Source organism: Homo sapiens, chromosome 12, assembly GCF_000001405.40.
Source record: "Homo sapiens chromosome 12, GRCh38.p14 Primary Assembly".
Classification (NCBI taxonomy): domain Eukaryota; kingdom Metazoa; phylum Chordata; class Mammalia; order Primates; family Hominidae; genus Homo; species Homo sapiens.
In genome coordinates, this window is record NC_000012.12 from 99679266 (window position 1) to 99698714 (window position 19449).

The 19449-nt window shown below is 38.4% G+C and overlaps 1 protein-coding gene across 21 annotated transcripts in view, besides 1 other annotated feature; it reads right to left on the reverse strand.

Moving 5' to 3' along the window:
- ANKS1B (ankyrin repeat and sterile alpha motif domain containing 1B) overlaps positions 1-19449 on the reverse strand; it is a 1250151-nt gene that overhangs the window by 944480 nt on the left and 286222 nt on the right. The window lies entirely within an intron of this gene.
- Positions 1100-1600: an enhancer, noted in NCBI's record as "H3K27ac hESC enhancer chr12:100074143-100074643 (GRCh37/hg19 assembly coordinates)". NCBI's record gives its function as "activates a minimal SCP1, AML or CMV promoter by ChIP-STARR-seq in naive H9 embryonic stem cells {active_cell/tissue: H9 hESC(naive)}" and the evidence as "EXISTENCE:reporter gene assay evidence [ECO:0000049][PMID:30033119]".

The window sequence follows — 19449 nt, forward strand, 5'->3', positions numbered from 1 at the left end:
GCACGTATTTAAAGATAATCTGATGATTTTTGAACTCTAAAGTTTTGTTGTTGTTTTGTTTGAGACAGGGTCTGGCTAGGTCACCCAGGCTGGAGTGCAGTGGCACCATCTCGACTCACTGCAACCTCCACCCCCAGGCTCAAGCCATCCTCCCACCTCAGCCTCCCAAGTACCTCGGACTACAGGTATGTACCAACACACCCAGATAATTTTTTTTTATTTTTTGTAGAAATAGGGTTTCACTATGTTGCCCAGGCTGGTCTCAAACTCCTGACTTCAAGTGATCCGCCCTCCTCGGCCTCCCAAAGTGCTGGGATAACAGGTGTGGGCTACCATGACTGTCCGAACTCTAACATTGAACTGGAAATATTACCAGTTTCAACAAGGGAAGAGAAAAGCAGATATTTTCAAATAAAAAAGAACCAAATTATTATCAAATTCTTAACTGTAACATCAGAAGTTAGAACACAATAGACCAACCATTGTAGATTATGGAAGAAAATAACTGTTAAAAATAGGCAGCTGGACTTGAAATCCTGCCTAAATATGGGAAATGGCAGACAGGAGTCAGGACTAACTTGCAGCACCCACTCGGATGGAGAGAACAGCATGTGGAGACTCACATTGTAAACTTTTGCTCCAAGAACTGCCATAGGAACATACCAGAAAAACTGAAAGAATTCACAGATCCTTTGAAAGAAGCACCTTGTTACTGCAAACTCTGTGAGACAGTTGAAAAAATGTCTTGAAAAGTGTGAAAGGGGAAAATCTGCCTCCAAACACACATCCTCCTTGGGGAACCTGAAAATCCAGACCACGGGAGAAGGATTTAAACTTATCTAGAGCTGAAACAAATTTAGACAGCCAAGCAAAATACAAAAGTAGAAGAAGCAGGCCAGGTATGGTGGCCCATGCCTGTAATCCCAGCACTTTGGGAGACGAAGGTGGGTGGATCACTCGAGGCCAAAAGTTCAAGACCAGCCTGGCCAACATGGCAAAACCCCGCCTCTACTAAAAATACAAAACCTAGCCAGCCATGGTGGCACATGCCTATAATCCCAGCTGGCTGGGAGGCTGAGGTGCGAGGATCACCTGAGCCCAGGAGGCAGAGGTTGCAGTGAGCCACGATCACGCCACTGCACACCAGGCTGTCTGTTAAGACTCTGTCAAAAAAAAAAAGGAAGAAGAAGCAGCAGCAGGAAGAGCCCTGTAGGCAGTCTCAGGGGAGCCATTTCTGACTTTATCTCACAGGGGTCTGTGGGAGGGCTGCAAGTGGAACTGGGGAAGGACCACAGGGAGAAAGAAACTTCCAGCTGAACTTCTGTAATAATTTTGACCAAGCATGAATTTTCCTGGGCAGAATCGGGGGAGGGGGAGAATAGGAAGTGTGGACATAAACACAGAAACTGCGGCAGGCAGGGAGGGGTGAAGCCTGAAATCCCTGCTTGCTTTCTCAGCTCTTAGTGGGTAGGCTTGTAGCCTGGTACAAGATCTCAGTACTGCTCACAGGCTCCCTGTATATAAACTCAGTGCTATTGGAGGGGCGTGGTAAGAGTTAGACTAGCCTTACTGGCTGCATGGGAGCTGAGTGAGGCCCGTCACTGCCAGCTTTTCCCCACTTCCCTGGTGACCTGTATAATGTACGAGAGGCAGCCATAATCCCCCTAAGAACATAACTCCATTGGCCTGAGAACCACAATCCCATCCCCCACAGAAGCCATAGCAAGTCCTGCCCAAGGAGAGTCTGAGCTCAGACACACCTAACCCGGCCTCCACTTGATGATTTTTCTCCACCTGCCCTGGTAGCCAAAGACAAAAGACATAATCTCTTGGGAGCTCCATGGCCCCACTCATCACCTGAGAATCCTGAGTACTTATCCAGGCAACCTTAAAGCAAGCTTGTATACCCCTATACTATGCAGTTGATCTCTCCTGAAAGTGCCACCTCCTGGCTAGAGGCCAACCAACTCAAGCCATTACAGCAACTCATAAAAGAACAAACCCACTCCAAAGAAGAAGAAAACAACAGCTAATTCCACTGCCTGTAGCATCCTAGCTAACCAGAGGTCCTGAGTCTGTCCATGTGACAACTTCACTGCTAACACAACTAGCATTGAGAAAACCAGAACAATAAACAAAATTACAACCAAGGACACTCACGGAGTCCACTTCACCCCTCTGCTACCTCCACTGGAGTAGCTGCTGGTATCCACAGCTGAGAGAACTGAAAATGGATCACATCACAGGACTCTTTGCAGACACTCCCCAGTACCAGCCCAGAGCCAAGTAGCTCCACTGGGTGGCTAGACCCAGAAGAGAAATAACAATCACAGCAGTCAGGCTGTCAGGAAGCCCCATTCCTAGAGGAAGGGGAAGAACACCACATCAAGAGAGCACCCTGTGGGACAAAAGAATCTGAATAGCAGCTCTTTAGCCCCAGATCATTCCTCTGACATATTCTACCCAAATGAGAAGAAACCAAAAAGACAACTCTGCTAATATGACAAAACAAGGACCATTAACACCCCCAAAGATCACATTAGCTCATCAGCAATGGATCCAAATCAAGAAGAAATCTCTCAATTGCCAGGAAAATAATTCAGAAGGTCACCTAACACATAAGGACTCACATAAACTTAAGGAAAAGGGGTGGAAAGAGATATTCCATGCAAACAGACACCAAAAGCGAGCAGGAGTAGCTATTCTTACATAAGGTAAAACAGACTTTGAAGCAACAAAAGTTTTAAAAAACAAAGAGGGACATTATGTAATGATAAAAGGACTAGTCCAACAGGAAAATATCACAATCCAAAATATATATGCAGAAGTTCCCAAATTTATAAAGCAATTACTACTAGACCTAAGAAATGAGACAGACAGCAACACAATATTAGTGGAGGACTTCAATACTCCACTGACAGCACTAGACAGGTCATCAAGTTAGAAAGTCAACAAAGAAACAATGAACTTAAACTATATCCTATAATAAATGGACTTAACAGATATTTGCAGAACATTTTCTATCCAACAACTGCAGAATATACATTCTATCCATCATCACATGGAACATTTTCCAAGATAGACCATATATGATAGGCCACAAAACAAAGCTCAATAAATTTAACAAAACTGAAATTATATCAAGTGCTCTCTCATACCACAGTGCAATAAAATTGGAACAAAAGGAACCTTCAAAACCATGGAAATACATGGAAATGAAATAATCTACTCCTGAATAATCATTGGGTCAACAATGAAATCAAAATGGAAATTTAAAAATTCTTCGAACTGAACAATAATAGTGACACATCCTATCAAACCTCTGGGATACAGCAAAAGTGGTGCTAAAAGGAAAGTTCATAGCATTAAATGCCTACATCAAAGAGTCTGAAAGAGCACATATAGACAATCTAAGGTCACACTTCAAGGAACTAGAGAAAGAAGAACAAGCCAAACCCAAACCCAGCAGAAGAAAAGAAATAACCAAGATCAGAGTAGAACTAATTGATATTGAAACAACAACAACAAAAATACAAAAGATAAATGACATGAAAAGCTGGTTCTTGGAAAAGATAAACAAATCAATAGATCATTAGTGAGTGTATTAGTCCCTTTTCATGCTGCTGATAAAGACATACCCGAGAATGGGTAATTTATTAAAAAATAAAAAAAAAGGTTTAATTGACTCACAGTTTCATCTGACTGGGGAGGCCTAACAATCATGGCAGAAGGTGACATACACGTCATACATGGCAGCAGACATGAGAGAAAGAGAATCAAGTGAAAGGGGTTTCCCCTTATGTAACCACCAGGTCTCGTGAGACTTATACACTACCATGAGAACAGTATGAGAGAAACTGCCCCCATTATTCAATTATCACCTACTGGGTCCCTCCCACAACATGTGGAAATTATGGAAGCTACAATTCAAGATGAGATTTGGGTGGGGACACAGCCAAATCATATCAGCGAGATTAACCAAGAAAAGAGAGAATATCCAAATAAGCTCAATTAGAAATGAAATGGGAGATATTACAATAGATATCACAGAAATAGAAAAGATCATTCAAGACTACTTGAACACCTATATGCTCACAAAGTAGAAAAACCTAGAGGAGATAGATAAATTCCTGGAAATATACAACCATCCTAGATTAAACCAGGAAGCAATAGAAACTCTGAGCAGATCAATAACAAGCAGTGAGATTAAAATGATAATAACAAATCGCAAACAAAAGATGTTCCAGGACCAGAGGAATTCACCGCTGAATTCTATCAGACATTCAAGGAAAAACTGGTACCAATCCTATTAACATTATTCCAAAAGATAAACAGGGAATCCTCCCTAAATCATTCTATGAAGCCAGTATCACCCTAATACCAAAACCAGAAAAGGGTATTTGAAACAAAAGAAAACAAAAAACCAATATCCCTTATGAACATAGATGCAAAAATCCTCAACAAAATACTAGTTAACTGAATCCAAAAGCACATCAAAAAGGTAATCCACCATGATCAAGTGGGTTTCATACCAGGGATGCAGGGATGGTTCAACATACACAAATAAATGTGATACATCATATAAACAGAATTAAAAACATCATCTCAATAGACACAGAAAAAGCATTTGACAAAATCCAGTATCCCTTTATGGTTAAAATCCTCAGTAAAATTGGCATAGAAGGGACATATCTTAAGGTAATAAAATCCATCTAAGACAAACCCACAGCCAATATTATACTGAATGGGGAAAAAGTGAGAGCATTCCCCCTGAGACCTGGGATAACACAAGGATGCCCACTCTCACCAATTCTATTCAACATAGTACTAGAAATCCTAGCCAGAGCAATCAGACAAGGCACAGAAATAAAGGGTATCCAACTCAGTAAAGAAGAAGTCAAACTGTCACTGGTCACCAATGATATGATCATATACCTAGAAAAGTATAAAGACTGATCCAAAAAGCTCCTAGAACTGAAAAAATGAATTCAGCAAAGGATCAAGTGACAAAATCAATATATACAAATCAGTAGCACTGCTATACACCAACAGTGACCAAGCTGAGAATCAAATCAAGAACTCAACTCCTTTTACAACAGCTGCAAAAAAAAAAAAAAAAAGGGAAAAAGAAATACTTAGGAATACATCTAACCAAAGAGGTGAAAGATCTCTACAAGGAAAACTACAAAACACTGCTGAAAGAAATCATAGATGACACAAACAACTGGAAATACATCACATGCTCATGAATGGGTAGTATCAATATTGTAAAAATGACAAATCTACAAATTCACCAAACTAGAAAAAACAATCCTAAAATTTATATGGAGTCAAAAAAGAGCCTGCATAGCCAGAGCAAGACTACTCCAAAAGAATAAATCTGGAAGCATCACATTACTTAACTTCAAACTATACTATAAATCTGTAGTCACCAAAACAGCTTGGTACAGGTATTAAAAATAGGCACACAGGCCAATGGAACAGAGTAGAGAACCCAGAAATAAAGCCAAATACATGCCGGCTTGATCTTCAACAAAGCAAACAAAAATATAATGTGGGGAAAAGATATCCTATTCAACAAATAGTGCTGGGATAATTGGCAAGCCACATGTAGAAGAATGAAACTGGATCCTCATCTCTCACCTTATACAAAAATCAACCCAAGACGAATCAAAGACTTAAATCTAACACCTGAAACCATCAAAATTCTAGAAGATAATACTGGAAAAACCCTTCCAGAAATTGGCTTAGGCAAAGAATTCATGAACAAGAACCCAAAAGCAACTGCAACAAAAACAGAGATAAATAGATAAGACTCAAACTAAAAAGTTTCTGCACAGCAAAAGAAATAATCAGCAGAGTAAACAGACAACCCACAGAGTGGGAGAAAATCATCACAAACTATGCATCTAACTATATAAACAAAGGACTAATATCCAGAATCTACAAGGAACTCAAACAAATCAGCAGGAAAAAACAAACAGTCCCATCAAAAAGTGGGCTAAGGACATGAATAGACAATTCTCAAAAGAAGATACACAAATCACCAACAAACATATGAAAAATGCTCAACATCACTAATGATCAGGGAAATATAAACCAAAATCACAATGCAATATCACCTTACTCCCAGAAGAATGGCCATAATTAAAAAATTAAAACATAATAGATGTTGGCATGGATGTGGTGACAAAGGGAACACTTTTACACTGCTGGTGGAAACTGCTAGTACAGCTACTATGGAAAACAGTGTGGAAAGTCCTTAAAGAACTAAAAGTAGATCTACCGTTTGATCCAGCAATCCCACTTCTGGGTATCTACCCCGTGAAAAAGAAGTCATTATATGAAAAAGACATTTGCACATGCATGTTTATAGCAGCACAACTGGCAATTGCAAAAATATGGAACCAGCCCAAATGCCCATCAATCAACAAGTGGATAAAGAAAACGTGGGGTGTGTTTATGTGTGTGTGTGTGTATACATATATATATATACACACACACACATATATACACAATGGAATACTACTCAGCCATAAAAAGGAATGAAATAATGGAATTCACAGCAACCTGGATGGAGTTGGAGACCATTACCTTGAGTGAAGTAACTCAGAAATGGAAACCAAACATTGTATGTTCTCACTTACAAATGGGAGCTAAGCTATGAAGATACAAAGGCATAAGAATGATACAATGGACTTTGGGGACTCCAGGGTAAGGGGTGGGGATTGAAAGATAAAAGACTATGCATTGGGTACAGTGTACACTGTTTGGATGATAGGTGCACCAAAATCTCACAAATCACCACTAAAGAACTTATCCATGTAAGCAAACACCTATTTCCCAAAAAGCTATTGAAATAATACATAAAATAATAGTAATTTTAAAAATAAGCAGAAGACCATTAGTCAGAGGCTGTCTCTGCACTATGAGTTGCTACATGATGAACCATAACCTAATTTGGTATGTAAACAAACCAAAATGTAACTTAGGAGTATAACAGCCAAGTTTCAGCTAATCACAAGCAGCCAGGTTTCAGTCAATTATAGGCAGCCAGCTTTTCACAACATGCCCAAATAAGGCAAAAGCCTTATCACACTATGCCCAAATAATATAAATACCTCATTGTAGCCAATCAGATGGTTTCTCGACTTTGCTTCCATGTTGAACCAATAAAAGCTCACTGCTCATGCTGCTGGGCAGAGCTCTCTGAACCTCTTCTGGTTCTGAGTGCTGCCTGATTCCTGAATTGGTCTTTGTTCAATTAAGCTACATTAAATTTAAATTGTCTTAAGTTTTTCTTGTAATAAAACTATGAATCAAGAATCCTATTACCAAGCAAGATATCACTCACATGTAAGAAAATAAGTATGACAATTATAGACATGTAAGGGTTCATTTACATTATTTAAAAATTACTCTAAAAAGCATTTTAAGTAACTCAAACCACTTCACACATACTATGAAAACCTTAGAACAGTATACTTTCATTTCCTCCTATCATTTTTGTGCTGTTGTTGCCATATATTTTAAGTGTACATGTTAGAAATCACACAATACATTTTATTATTTTTACTGTACACAGAAGATTTTAATCTCCTTTAAGAAGATTAAAAACAATGAGACAAATTTCTCTTACATTTATGCACCTATTTATCATTGTGGAACCTTTCATTTTTTGGTAGAGCAAACTTTCCATCTGATATCATTTTTGCCTTTTGCCTGGATAACTTCCTTTAATCTTTCTATGAGAAAGATGTGTTTACAGTGAATTCTGTCTGTGTTTGTCTGAAAAGCTTTTACCCTACCTTCACTTATGAAATATAATTTAAATGCAAATAAAATTATAACTTGATAGTTTTTTCTTTTAGTGTTTTAAAGATATCATTTCATCACTTCAGACTCACAGAGTTTATAAGAAAAAGTCTGGTTTTATTCTTTTATACATAGTACTCTGGTAAGTAATATACCTTTTTTCTCTGGCTGCTTTTAGGATTCTTCTTTACATCACTGATTTTCAATAATTTTATTTTAAATATGACTCAATGTGGCTCCTTTAAGTTTATTTTGCATACAGTTTATTCAACTTATTGGATCTGTGGGCTTAGAGTTTCCATCAAATGTTGAAAATTTTCAAACATTATTTTCTCAACTAATTTTTCTACTTTCTTCCCTCCCTTTCAGGATGTCAGTTACACATAGCTTAGTGGCTGAGTTGGTCACTGCTCACTGATGCTCTGTTCTATTTTTTTTCAATCCTTCTTCTTTCTGTACTTCATTTTAGTTTCTATTGCTAGATCCTCAAGTTCACTAATCTTTTCTGCTTCAGTCCTATCTCTGTTATTAATCTCATCTAGTACACTTTTCATTTCAGCTATCATATTCATTATCTCCAGAAGTTCCACTTGAGTCATTTTTTTCTTACACTTCTCTCCTCATGCTCATGTATCCCTTTATGTGCTTGAGCATTTTATAACACTGTTTTATATATACATAATATAACAGCTATTTTGTAAACAGCTTTGCTGCTAAATCTATTGTCTCTGTTTCTACTGATTTATTTATTTTTCTCCAGGTTATGGCTTCTTTACACACAAAATAATTTTTTACTGTTTGGTGAACATTGTGAATTTTACATTGTTAGGTGCCAGATTTTGTTATATTCTTTATAACCAGGACATAGTTAATTAATATGCAGATCAGTTTCATTACTTTGAGGCTTCCTTTAAACTTTGTTAGGATAATTCCAGAACAATCTTTTTTCAAGGCCACATTATCCCCATTATTAAGGAGAGACTCTTCTGAGTACTCTTCCAGTGCCTTGTATCTTACAATTTAGGTCTCTTCTTTTCACTGTTGGGAATATAAAACATTCCCCACTCTGTGGGAGCTCTGAGAACCGCTGAGTATTGCTTTTCAGTGGGTCCTTCCCCAGCCTCACTGTGTGCAGTTCCCACCTCTCCAATACCCTGAGCTACAAATCCTAGCAAATTCAAGCTACCTGAAATCTAAACTCTGTCTCCTCATCAAGAACTCTCTCCCTGCTTTGTAGTCTATAAACCACCTTCAAACACATAGGTGGGTAATTGTAAGGCTCACCTCATTTGTTTCTCTTATCTCAGAATTTACAGACATGTATCGCCTAATGGCCAACAACTGAAAACATCTGTTTTATATACTGTGTCCATTTTTCTAGTTCTTTACAGTGGAAAGGATATTCCCAAAATAACAAATGCCTCTTGATGAGAGACTGATCGTTTTCGGAAAATATCAATATAAAGAAAAAAGGCACCAAGGACTGTGTCTCAAGCCTGTAATCCTAGCACTTTAAGAGGCTGAAGTGGGAAGATCACTTGAGGCCAGGAGTTCGAGACCAGCCTGGGCAACATAACAAGACTTGGTCTCTAGAAAAAAACATAGCCAAGTATAGTGGTGCACACCTGTAGTCCAAACTACTTAGAACTACTTAGAAGGCTGAGGTGGAAGGATTGCTTGAGCCCAGGAGTCCAAGGCTGCAGTGAGCTATGATTGCACCATCACAATCCAGCCTGGGTGACAGACTGAGATACTGTCTCTAAAATAATAATAATAATTACATGAGCAAGTGCTAAATTTAAAAAAAAAAAAAGAGAGAAAATGCAAGTTACAAAAGTTGTGAATTTCTTACAAGTAATATATTTTAAGGGTTCCATTGTGTATAAAAAAATTACCTATGTGATCTTGGACTAGTTATTTAGACTTTTTAGCCCTAAAATCATCTCAATTCAAATTTTCCTCAAACTGAAGAAATTTTCTTCCCCCAATTCACAATCCTCTACTTCCTCATCTTCAATGTTCCTACATTACACTATTGTAAATATCCCCTATTTGATATTTTGGTTTCTAGTTTTAAACTATTCAAATCCATCTTTCACTCTACCACTAGATTATTCTATTTAAAACACAAAACATGTCTTATTCATGTTTGAATTCCTAATAATTAGACTGGATTGTTAAGACAAATCTCTCTAAGAAGATCTCTTTTAAGATGAAACCAGGCTAACAATTAGAGCCAGCCATGTAGAGATTAAGAACCAGGCAGAGGGATCAAATAATGCAAAGAAGAATACAAGAGTAAGCTTAGTGCGTGTGGCAGGCAGAATTTTAAGATGGCTCTAAGATTCCTACTCTCTGATTTACACACCCTGTATATTAATCCTCCCCTCACATGTCAGCTCAATCTGTGAATAATATGCAACATCACTCTTGTGATTATGTTATGTTACCTGGCCAAAGAAGTTATGTAGATGTAATCAAGCTGGGTTAGCTCAAGTTAATCAAAAGGGAGAGTATCCTGGCTGAGCCAGACCTGATCAGGTAAGGATCAGGTCTGCTCACCTGAGGTCAGAAAAATTCATCTGCTGGCTTTAAGAAAGTTAGCAGTCATGCACTGAGACAGCCATGTGGCTAGAATCTGAGACCAGCCTCAAGTTGAAAGCAACTCTCCTCCAATAGTCTACAAGACAATAGAGGCCTCAGTTCTACAACCTCAGAAGTGAATTTAACCAAAAACACATGAGCCTGGCAGAGAACAACTGAACTTCAGAGGAGACCACAGTCTTAAAAGACAACTTGATTGCAGCCTTGTGAGACCATGTACAGAGGACCTGTTATTAGTCCATTCTCACAATGCTATCAAGAAATACCCAAGAATCGATAATTTATAAAGGAAAGAGGTTTAATTGCCTCACAGTTCCCCATTGCTAGGGAGGCCTCAGGAAACTTACAATCATGGTGGAAGGCAAAGGAGAAGCTGGCACTTTCTTCACAGGGCGGCAGGACAGAGTGAGTGCAAGCAGGGAAATGCCAGATGCTTAAAAAGCCATCAGATCTCATGAGAACTCACTCACTATCATGAGAACAGCATAGGGGAAACCGCCGCCATAATCTAATTACCTCCACCTGGTCCCAATCTTCACTCATGGGGATTATGGGGATTAAAATTCAAGGTGAGATCTGGATGGGGACACAGAGGCAAATTATATCATTCCACCCCTGGCCCCTCCCAAATCTCATGTCTTTTCACACTTCAAAACCAATCATGCCTTCCCAACAGTACCCTAAAGTCTTAACTCATTTCAGCACTAATTGAAAAGTCCACAGTCCAAAGTCTCATCTGAGACAAGGCAAGTCCCTTCCACCTATAAGCCTGTAAAATCGAAAGCAAGTTAGTTACTTCCTAGATACAATGAGGGCACACACATTGGGTAAATATAGCCATTCCAAATGGGAGAAAAAGGAGCTACAGGCCCCATGCAAGTCTGAAATCCAATGGGGCAATCAAATCTTAAAGTTCCAAAATAATCTCCTTTTGACTCCACGTCTCACATCTGGGTCACACTGATGCAAGAGGTGGTCTCCCATGGCCTTAGGCAGCTCCACCCCTGTGGCTCTGCAGGGTACAGCCCCCATACTGGCTGCTTCCACAGGCTGGTGTTGAGTGTCTGCCGGTTTTCCAGGTGCACAGTGCAAGCTGTAAGTGGATCTATGATTCCGAGGTTTGGAGGATGGTGACCCTCTTCTTGCAGCTCCACTAGGCACTGCCCCAGTGGGAACTCTGTGTGGAGGCTTCAACCCCACATTTTCCTTCCCTACTGACCTAGCAGAGGGTCTTCATAAGGGCTCTGCCCCTGTAGCAAACTTCTGCATGGACATCCAGGCATTTCCCTACATCCTCTGAAATCTATGCAGAGATTCTCAAACCTCAATTCTTGACTTCTGTGCACCCATAGGCTCAACACTATGTGGAAGACACCAAGGCTTGGGGCTTGCACCCTCTGAAGCAATGGACCAAGCTGTACCTTTGCCCCTTTTAGCCATGGCTGGAGCTGAAGCAGCTGCGATGCAAGGCACCATGTTCCAAGGCTGCACAGAGCAGGAGGGCCCTGAGCCCACCCTACAAAACCATACTTCCTCCCAGGCCTCTGGACCTGTGATGGGAGGGCCTTCTATGAACGTCTCTGATATGCCCTGGAGACTTCCTCCCCATTGTGTTAGTGACTGACATTCAGCTCCTCACTACGTATGCAAATTTCTGCATCAGGCTTGAATTTCTCCCCAGCAAATGGTTTTTCTTTTCTATTGCATTGTCAGGCTGCAAATTTTTCAAACTTTTATGCTCTACTTCCTCTTGAACACTTTGCTGCTTAGAAATTTCTTCCATCAGATACCCTAAATCATCTTTCTCAAGTTCAAAGTTCCACAGATCTCTAGGGCAGGAGCAAAATGCTGCCAGTCTCTTTGCTAAAGCATAGCAAGAGTGACCTTTACTCTAGTTCTCAACAAATTCCTCATCTCCATCTGAGACCACCTCAGCCTGGATTTCATTGTCCATATCACTATGAGCATTTTGATCAAAGCCATTCAATAAGTCTCTAGGAAGTTCCAAACTTTCCCACATTTTCCAGTCTTCTGAGCCCTCCAAACTGTTCCAACCTCTGCCAAAGTTCCAAAGTTGCGTCCAAATTTTCAAGTATCCTTGTAGCAGTGCCCCACTCTCAGTACCAATTTAGGACCCAGTTAAGCTATGCCTGAACTCCTGACACACAGAAACTGAGATAACAAATGGGTGTTTTTTAAATCATGAAGTGTGTAGTAATCTGTTACACAGCAATAGAAAACTCATGGAATATGTTTAAGAGGCAAGAACAACAAAAGCCAGTACAACTGGGGTATGGTGGGCATTTTAAGATAAAAAATGGGATAAATTGTTAGGAGATTAGGTTGGCGAGATAGATGAGAGTCAAATTCTGTGAAAATTTGTTGTTAAAAGTGGGAAGTTTTTTATAATTTTGCTTGTTAAGTATATAAGAAAGTCATCACTGAGATTTAAGCATGGGAAGAACCTGATTGGCAATTTTTAAAGAACATTCTGGATGCTGTGAGTAAAATGGATTGTAGGAGGGGAATAACAGAAGAAGGAATGAGACTAGTTAGAAGGCTGTTACAATAATCCGGTGAGAATTGAAGAAGGCTGGGATAGTGGCAAAAGAAGTTAGATGTGGTCAGATAGCGGTCATATTTTTTAAAGTGGAGTTAACAGGAATTATTAATGGATCAGGTTGAGGGTAAGAAAAAGAGATGAGGCCCAGCGCAGTGGCTCATGCCTGTAATCCCAGCACTTTGGGAGGCTGAGGTGGGAGGATCACTTGAGGTCAGGAGTTCAAGACCAGCCTGGGCAACATGGTGAAATCCTGTCTCTACTAAAAATACAAAAATTAGCTGGGCATGGTGGTGCATGCCTGTGGTCCCAGCTACTCTGGAGGCTGAAGCAGGAGAATTGCTTAAACCCAGGAGGCAGAGGTTGCAGCAAGCTGAGATCGCACCACTGCACTCCAGCCTGGGTGACAGAGCAAGATTCTGTCAAAAAAAAAAAAAAAAGGAAAAGAAAAAGAAATGAATCAGGGATGACTTTAAGTTTTTGACTTGACGAACTAAGCTGATGGTGGGTTGTCGTTTATTAAGCAGGGGAAGTCTATGGGAGGAACCAGTTGGAATGACGGGATGGGGAAAAGCATGTGTTCTACTTCGGATAAGTTGTTTTAACTGCCTACTCATCACCTGAATGGTGATATCAGGTTAGCAGATGGTTATACATGTCTCAAACTGCAGGCACAATTCAGAACTAGAAGTAACAGAGTCATTGGCATGTAGGCAGTATGTAAAGCAAAAGTACTGGATGTATTACTTTGGGCAAGTGTGTTAATTGAAAATACAAGGTTTTCTGTGCCTAATCCCTGGAAAATACAACTGACATATTTGAGGTACAGCAGAGGAAGAGGAGTTTGCAAAGGAGACTTAAAAAGAGCAGTCAAGGAGGGAAGAATAAGGAAAAATAGTATAAAGTCATTTAAACAAACAGAAGAATGTATTTCAAGAAAGAGAAAACAATCACACTTTATCAAATAATGCTGAAAGGAAAAAAATAAAATACATTAGGTCAGAGAAGTGATCATTGGATTCATAATCATGGATATTTAAATGGTAGACTTAACAAAAGAACTGTTGGAGTACTGGTTGTGATGGACTGCCCATTAAAGCAGAGACAGGACAAAATCTAAGTGTAAAAAAACCAGAAACAATAATGACAGTAGATATCTCTTTCAAAATATGTCACTGTGAAAGGGTTCAGAGATTGAAGCTATTGTGTTGTGACAGCTGGGGTCAAGAGATTTTGTTTTGTATGGTTGGCGGTAAGATGGGATATATCACAGCATGTTTTTAGAAAGTACATTGGTATCCAGCATACTATTGCAATAAAATTAAAGCTGACCTTATCTGATTCTACCTAACTGAATTTTAATGCTAAATAAAGCCAAAACTTTAGCCAGTTCAGGATAGTCATCATATACATGATGGCAAAATGAATGTTAAAAAATAAACAACTACATTGAGAGAAGATACCAGGCATCCAGAGTTATTCATAAGTTAAATGACTGGTTCCTACACACTGGTCTTTCAACAAATATTTTTTGGACTTTTTTTTTTTTTTTTTGAGATGGAATCTCGCTCTGTCACCCAGGCTGGAGTGCAGTGGCGCGATCTCAGCTCACTGCAAGCTCTGCCTCCCGGGTTCACGCCATTCTCCTGCCTCAGCCTCCCGAGTAGCTAGGACTACAGATGCGTGCCAACATGCCTGGCTAGTTTTTGTATTTTTAGTAGAGACATGGTTTCACTATTTTGGCCAGGCTGGTCTCGAACTTCTGACCTCATGATCTGCCCACCTCAGCCTCCCAAAGTGCTGGGATTACAGGCGTGAGCCACCATGCCCAGCCCTTTTTTGGACATTTTTATTCAAAGTTGTGAGTACCAATAATTTTCTATAAAAGCATTAGAATTGTCAGACTATGAGATGGGCACGGTGGCTCACACCTGTAATCCCAGCACTTTGGGAGGCTGAGGTGGGCAGATCACTGTGTGTGGTCAGGAGTTCGAGACCAGCCTGGCCAACATGGTGAAACCCTGCCTCTATTAAAAATACAAAAATTAGCTAGGCACAGTGGTAGGTACCTGTAATCCCAGCTACTCAGGAGTCTGAGGCAGAAGAATCGCTTGAACCCGGGAGGTGGAGGTTGCAGTAAGCTGAGATCATGCCACTACACTCCAGCCTGGGTGACAGAGTGAGACTTCATCTAAAAAAAAAAAAAAAGAATTGTCAGACTATGGATGGACTTACCCTCTATTTTCCAACCATCTGTAATATTTCTATATGGAGTTTCAACAAAAAGTAATGACATTAAACATGATACTGTAAAAGATAAATAAAACCTCAGCTGACCAAAGCATCATAAATGTAATATCTTAAAATAATAAGAGCATAATTATATTAAGACCTACAGAATTATCCATGTCTAGTGAAACATAAAGTAACAATTTTAAGACTAAAATTGTAAAGAGTTAATGGTTTTCAACAAACACATACCAAAAATTAATAATTAATTTTTAATCCATAGAATTTTAGACCATAAAAAGATCTTACATGTTATTTTGCTCAACCTATTCCTAGTGCCAAACTTCTTTCTTCAGCATCTCTGGGAAATCTATGCTTCAGCTTGAAAATGTCCACTAAGAAGCTCATGCTTTCTCAAGGCAAGTACAGTGGAACAGCTTTCATATATTAAGCTAAAACCTGCCTCTCCCAAACTTCCACTCATTAATCTTAGTTTTGTCCTTGGAATGCATACTTAGAAAGCTCTGAAATTAAAGGAACAGGGTCTTTACAAAGCAAACTGTTTGCTTTCAAACTTTTGTTACTAGGAATATCTCAAAGTGGGGGGGAAATAGTGCTTCTGTGCTTAACAAATGAGCTCTGTTTATAATCAAAAAAGTAAGGTTTACATAAATTATTTATTATCAGGAAATCCCTAAATTCAGAAGTAGCCTATAGAAGTTGACGTTTTAACAAATTACTAAAATCAGCTTTTGTTTTGTTATCTGATGTGGTCAAAGTGTTATGCATGGCTAGATACAAATATAGCAAAACTTCAAACTCACTTCCTCTTTTCTTCTAATTTAATATTTACTGATTAAATCAAATTTTAATATGCACTTGCTTCTGCAGTAGAACAGATATCTCATAAAGACAAAACTCCCACTGAACGTAGTGGTAGTCATCAGTGCTCACAGTCTAATGTGCACTGCAAAAACATGTAGAGAAAAATCCATTAAACTACATTGGCTATTGATTCTTTTCTCCTGAGAAGTTCCAGCCAGAATTCATTGCTATCACTGTCTTATGCATGGTGGTGCCTCACTAATGAAAGATTCAGATTTTTTTAAAGGGTCTACCTGGCCTAAATAAGATATGCCACTTAAAATTAGATTCATAATAAACCAAACACCGCATGTTCTCACTTACAAATAGGAGCTGAACAATGAGAATACACGGACACAGGGAGGGGAACAACACTCACTGGGGCCTGTCGGGGGAGGGTTGGGGGAGACAGAGCATCATGATAAAGAGCTAATGCATGCAGGGCTTAATACCCAGGTGATGGGTTGATAGGTACAGCAAACCACCATGGCATATGTTTACCTATGTAACAAACCTGCACATCCTGCACATGTATCCCAGAACTTAAAATAAAATAAAACTTTTTTAAAAGATGGTAACAATAGACACTGGGGACTACTAGAGCGCGGAGGGTGGAAGGGGAGCAAGCATTTAAAAACTACCTACTGGGCACTATGCTCACTACCTGGGTGGAGGGATCACTTGTACCCCAAAACTCAGCAAAGCACAACATACCCATGTAACAAACCTGCACATGTACCCCTTGAATCTAAAATAAAAGTTGAAATAAAAAATAAATTAAAAAGAGAAATTTTTTTTAAGTAGATTCATAAATTTCACAATTTATAAATTAATACATATATGGTTCGTTGTTCATCTCATGATAAAATCACTTGGAAAAACTCCAAATGTCATTAGGAAGATACCTATAAGATGATGTAGAGTCATTTTATGGAGTCTACGATATATTGTTAAGTGAAAAACAAAAGCTTCATATCATTCCTACTCGATTTCAAGGTGTACTATAAAGCTACAATAATCAAGACAGTGTGGTATTGGTGAAAGAATAGACAAACATATTAGTGGAACAGAATAAAATCCAAAAATAAACACATACCAATACGCTCAAGAGATCTTTGACAAAGTAGCAAAGCAAGTCAATGTAGATAGCGTTTCAACAAATGGTGCTGGAACAACTGAACATCCACATGTAAAAAAAAAAATTAGACACAGGTCTTACACTTTTCACAAATTAATTCAAAATGGATCATAAGCCTAAATGTAAAATGAAAAGCTATAAAACTTCTAGAAGATAACAGGAAAAAAATCTAGATAGTGTTGGGTTTGGCAATAACATTTTAGGTGCAACACTGAAAACATGATATATAAAATAAAAATTGATAAATTAGACTTCATTTAAACTTAAATTGAAAAATTCTGCTCTGTGAAAGATACTCTTAAGAGAATGAAAGGACAAGCCACAGACTTGGAGAAGATCTTGGCAAAACACATATCTGATAAAGGACTGGTATTCAAAATATACAAAGAACACTTAAAATACAACATAAGAAAACAAATAACCCAATTTTTAAAATGGGCAAAAGATCTTAACAGCTACTTCACCAAAGAAGATATACAGATGCCAAATAATTGCATGAAAAGATGCGAATACCATATGTCACTAGAGAACTGCAAACTAAAACAACAATGACATACCACTACGCATCTACCAGAATGACTAACATATAAAACACTGACAACACCAAATGCTGGTGAGGATGTGGAGCAACAGGAACTCTCATTCATTACTGTGGAAGTGCAAAATGGTACAGCCACTTTAGAAAACAGTTTGGAAGTTTCTTACAAGCTAAGCACAATCCTACCATGTGGTCTAGTCATCACACTGGATTTATTTCATTTGAGAATTTATCCAAATGAAAATAAACCCACAGAAAAATCTGCACAGGAATGTTTATAGCAGCTTTATTCATAATTACCCAAACTTGGAAGCAACTAAAATGTCTTTCAGTCAGTGGAACAGATAAACAAACTGTGGTATATCCATGCAATGAAAAATTATTCAGTGGTGAAATGAAATAAGCTTTCAAAGCATGAAAAGACATAAAGAAACCTTAAATTTATATTACTAAGTAAAATAATCCAGTCTGAAAAGGCTACTTACTGTATAATTTCAACTATATGACATTCTGAAAAGGCAAAACTATGGAGACAATGAAAAGATCAGTGGTTGCCAAAGTTCTGGGGGATAAAGCAAGGGATGAATAAGGAGACCACAAAAGGTTTTTAGGGTAGTGAAACTATTCTATATGTTACTGTAACTGTGGCTACATGACATTATGGATTTGTCAAGAGCCACAGAACTGCACAACACAAAGAGTAAAACCCTATATAAACAATGAACTTTAGTTAATAATAATGTATCAATATCAGTTGAACAATTTTAACAAATATACCACATTAATGTAAGATGTTAATAACAGGAGAAATGGGAGAGGTAGCAGGTATATGGGAACTCTGTACTTTCTGCTAAACTTTTCTGTAAACCTAAATTTACTCTAAAAAGTAAAGTCTATTAATTTTTTTAAATCTATAAGCAAAAATGTATGCATACATAGCATGCTTTTGATTAAGAAAAACGGGGCAGAAAACATAGGAAGGATAAACCAGAAAAACGTTAGATTACCTATATGGGGTGGGTAGAAAGAGCAGAAGGTATAGGAAAGAGGTAGGATTTCTCTGAGTATACCTGTTTATATAGTTTTGATGACATATTAATATTTTATATAATAAAAACAAAACTAAATCAACAAGAATGTTGTGGAAAGTCCTTATAATTTGCTAAAAACAAAAACATATAAACCTAATTATATATCAAATAGATAACTATATAGAATAAAATAAAAACAAATTAATCCAAGAACGTTTTGAATACAATACTGTTTCCACCCTCAGTGGAAATATTCTAAGGACCAAAATAACCGCAAATAAACCTTGAATTTCACTTGGTAAATTTGGTGGCATTGCTGGTATTGTACAGCAATTTAAGTGTGTGTGTGTCCGTGTGTGCATGTGTGTTGCACAAGCACATGTACATGTGTTAAAAATGAGTAAATAGGCGGTTACACTGACACTATTGGGAACTGGGATTTTCACCATGAAAGAAAGGAAATACAAATATGGATTGAGGAACAGACAGAATTTGTGGCTGAAGAGAATAAATCCATGACTTAAGAAAAAAAAATGCTTTCTACCATTACCTACTAAAAGGTTCCCGAAGCAATAACACTCTACAGCAAACAATAAGTTCCTTTGCTATATATTTAAGCCTCGGGTTTATGAATCTAACATTGCGTCTTATCTGTAGTTGGGACATGCTG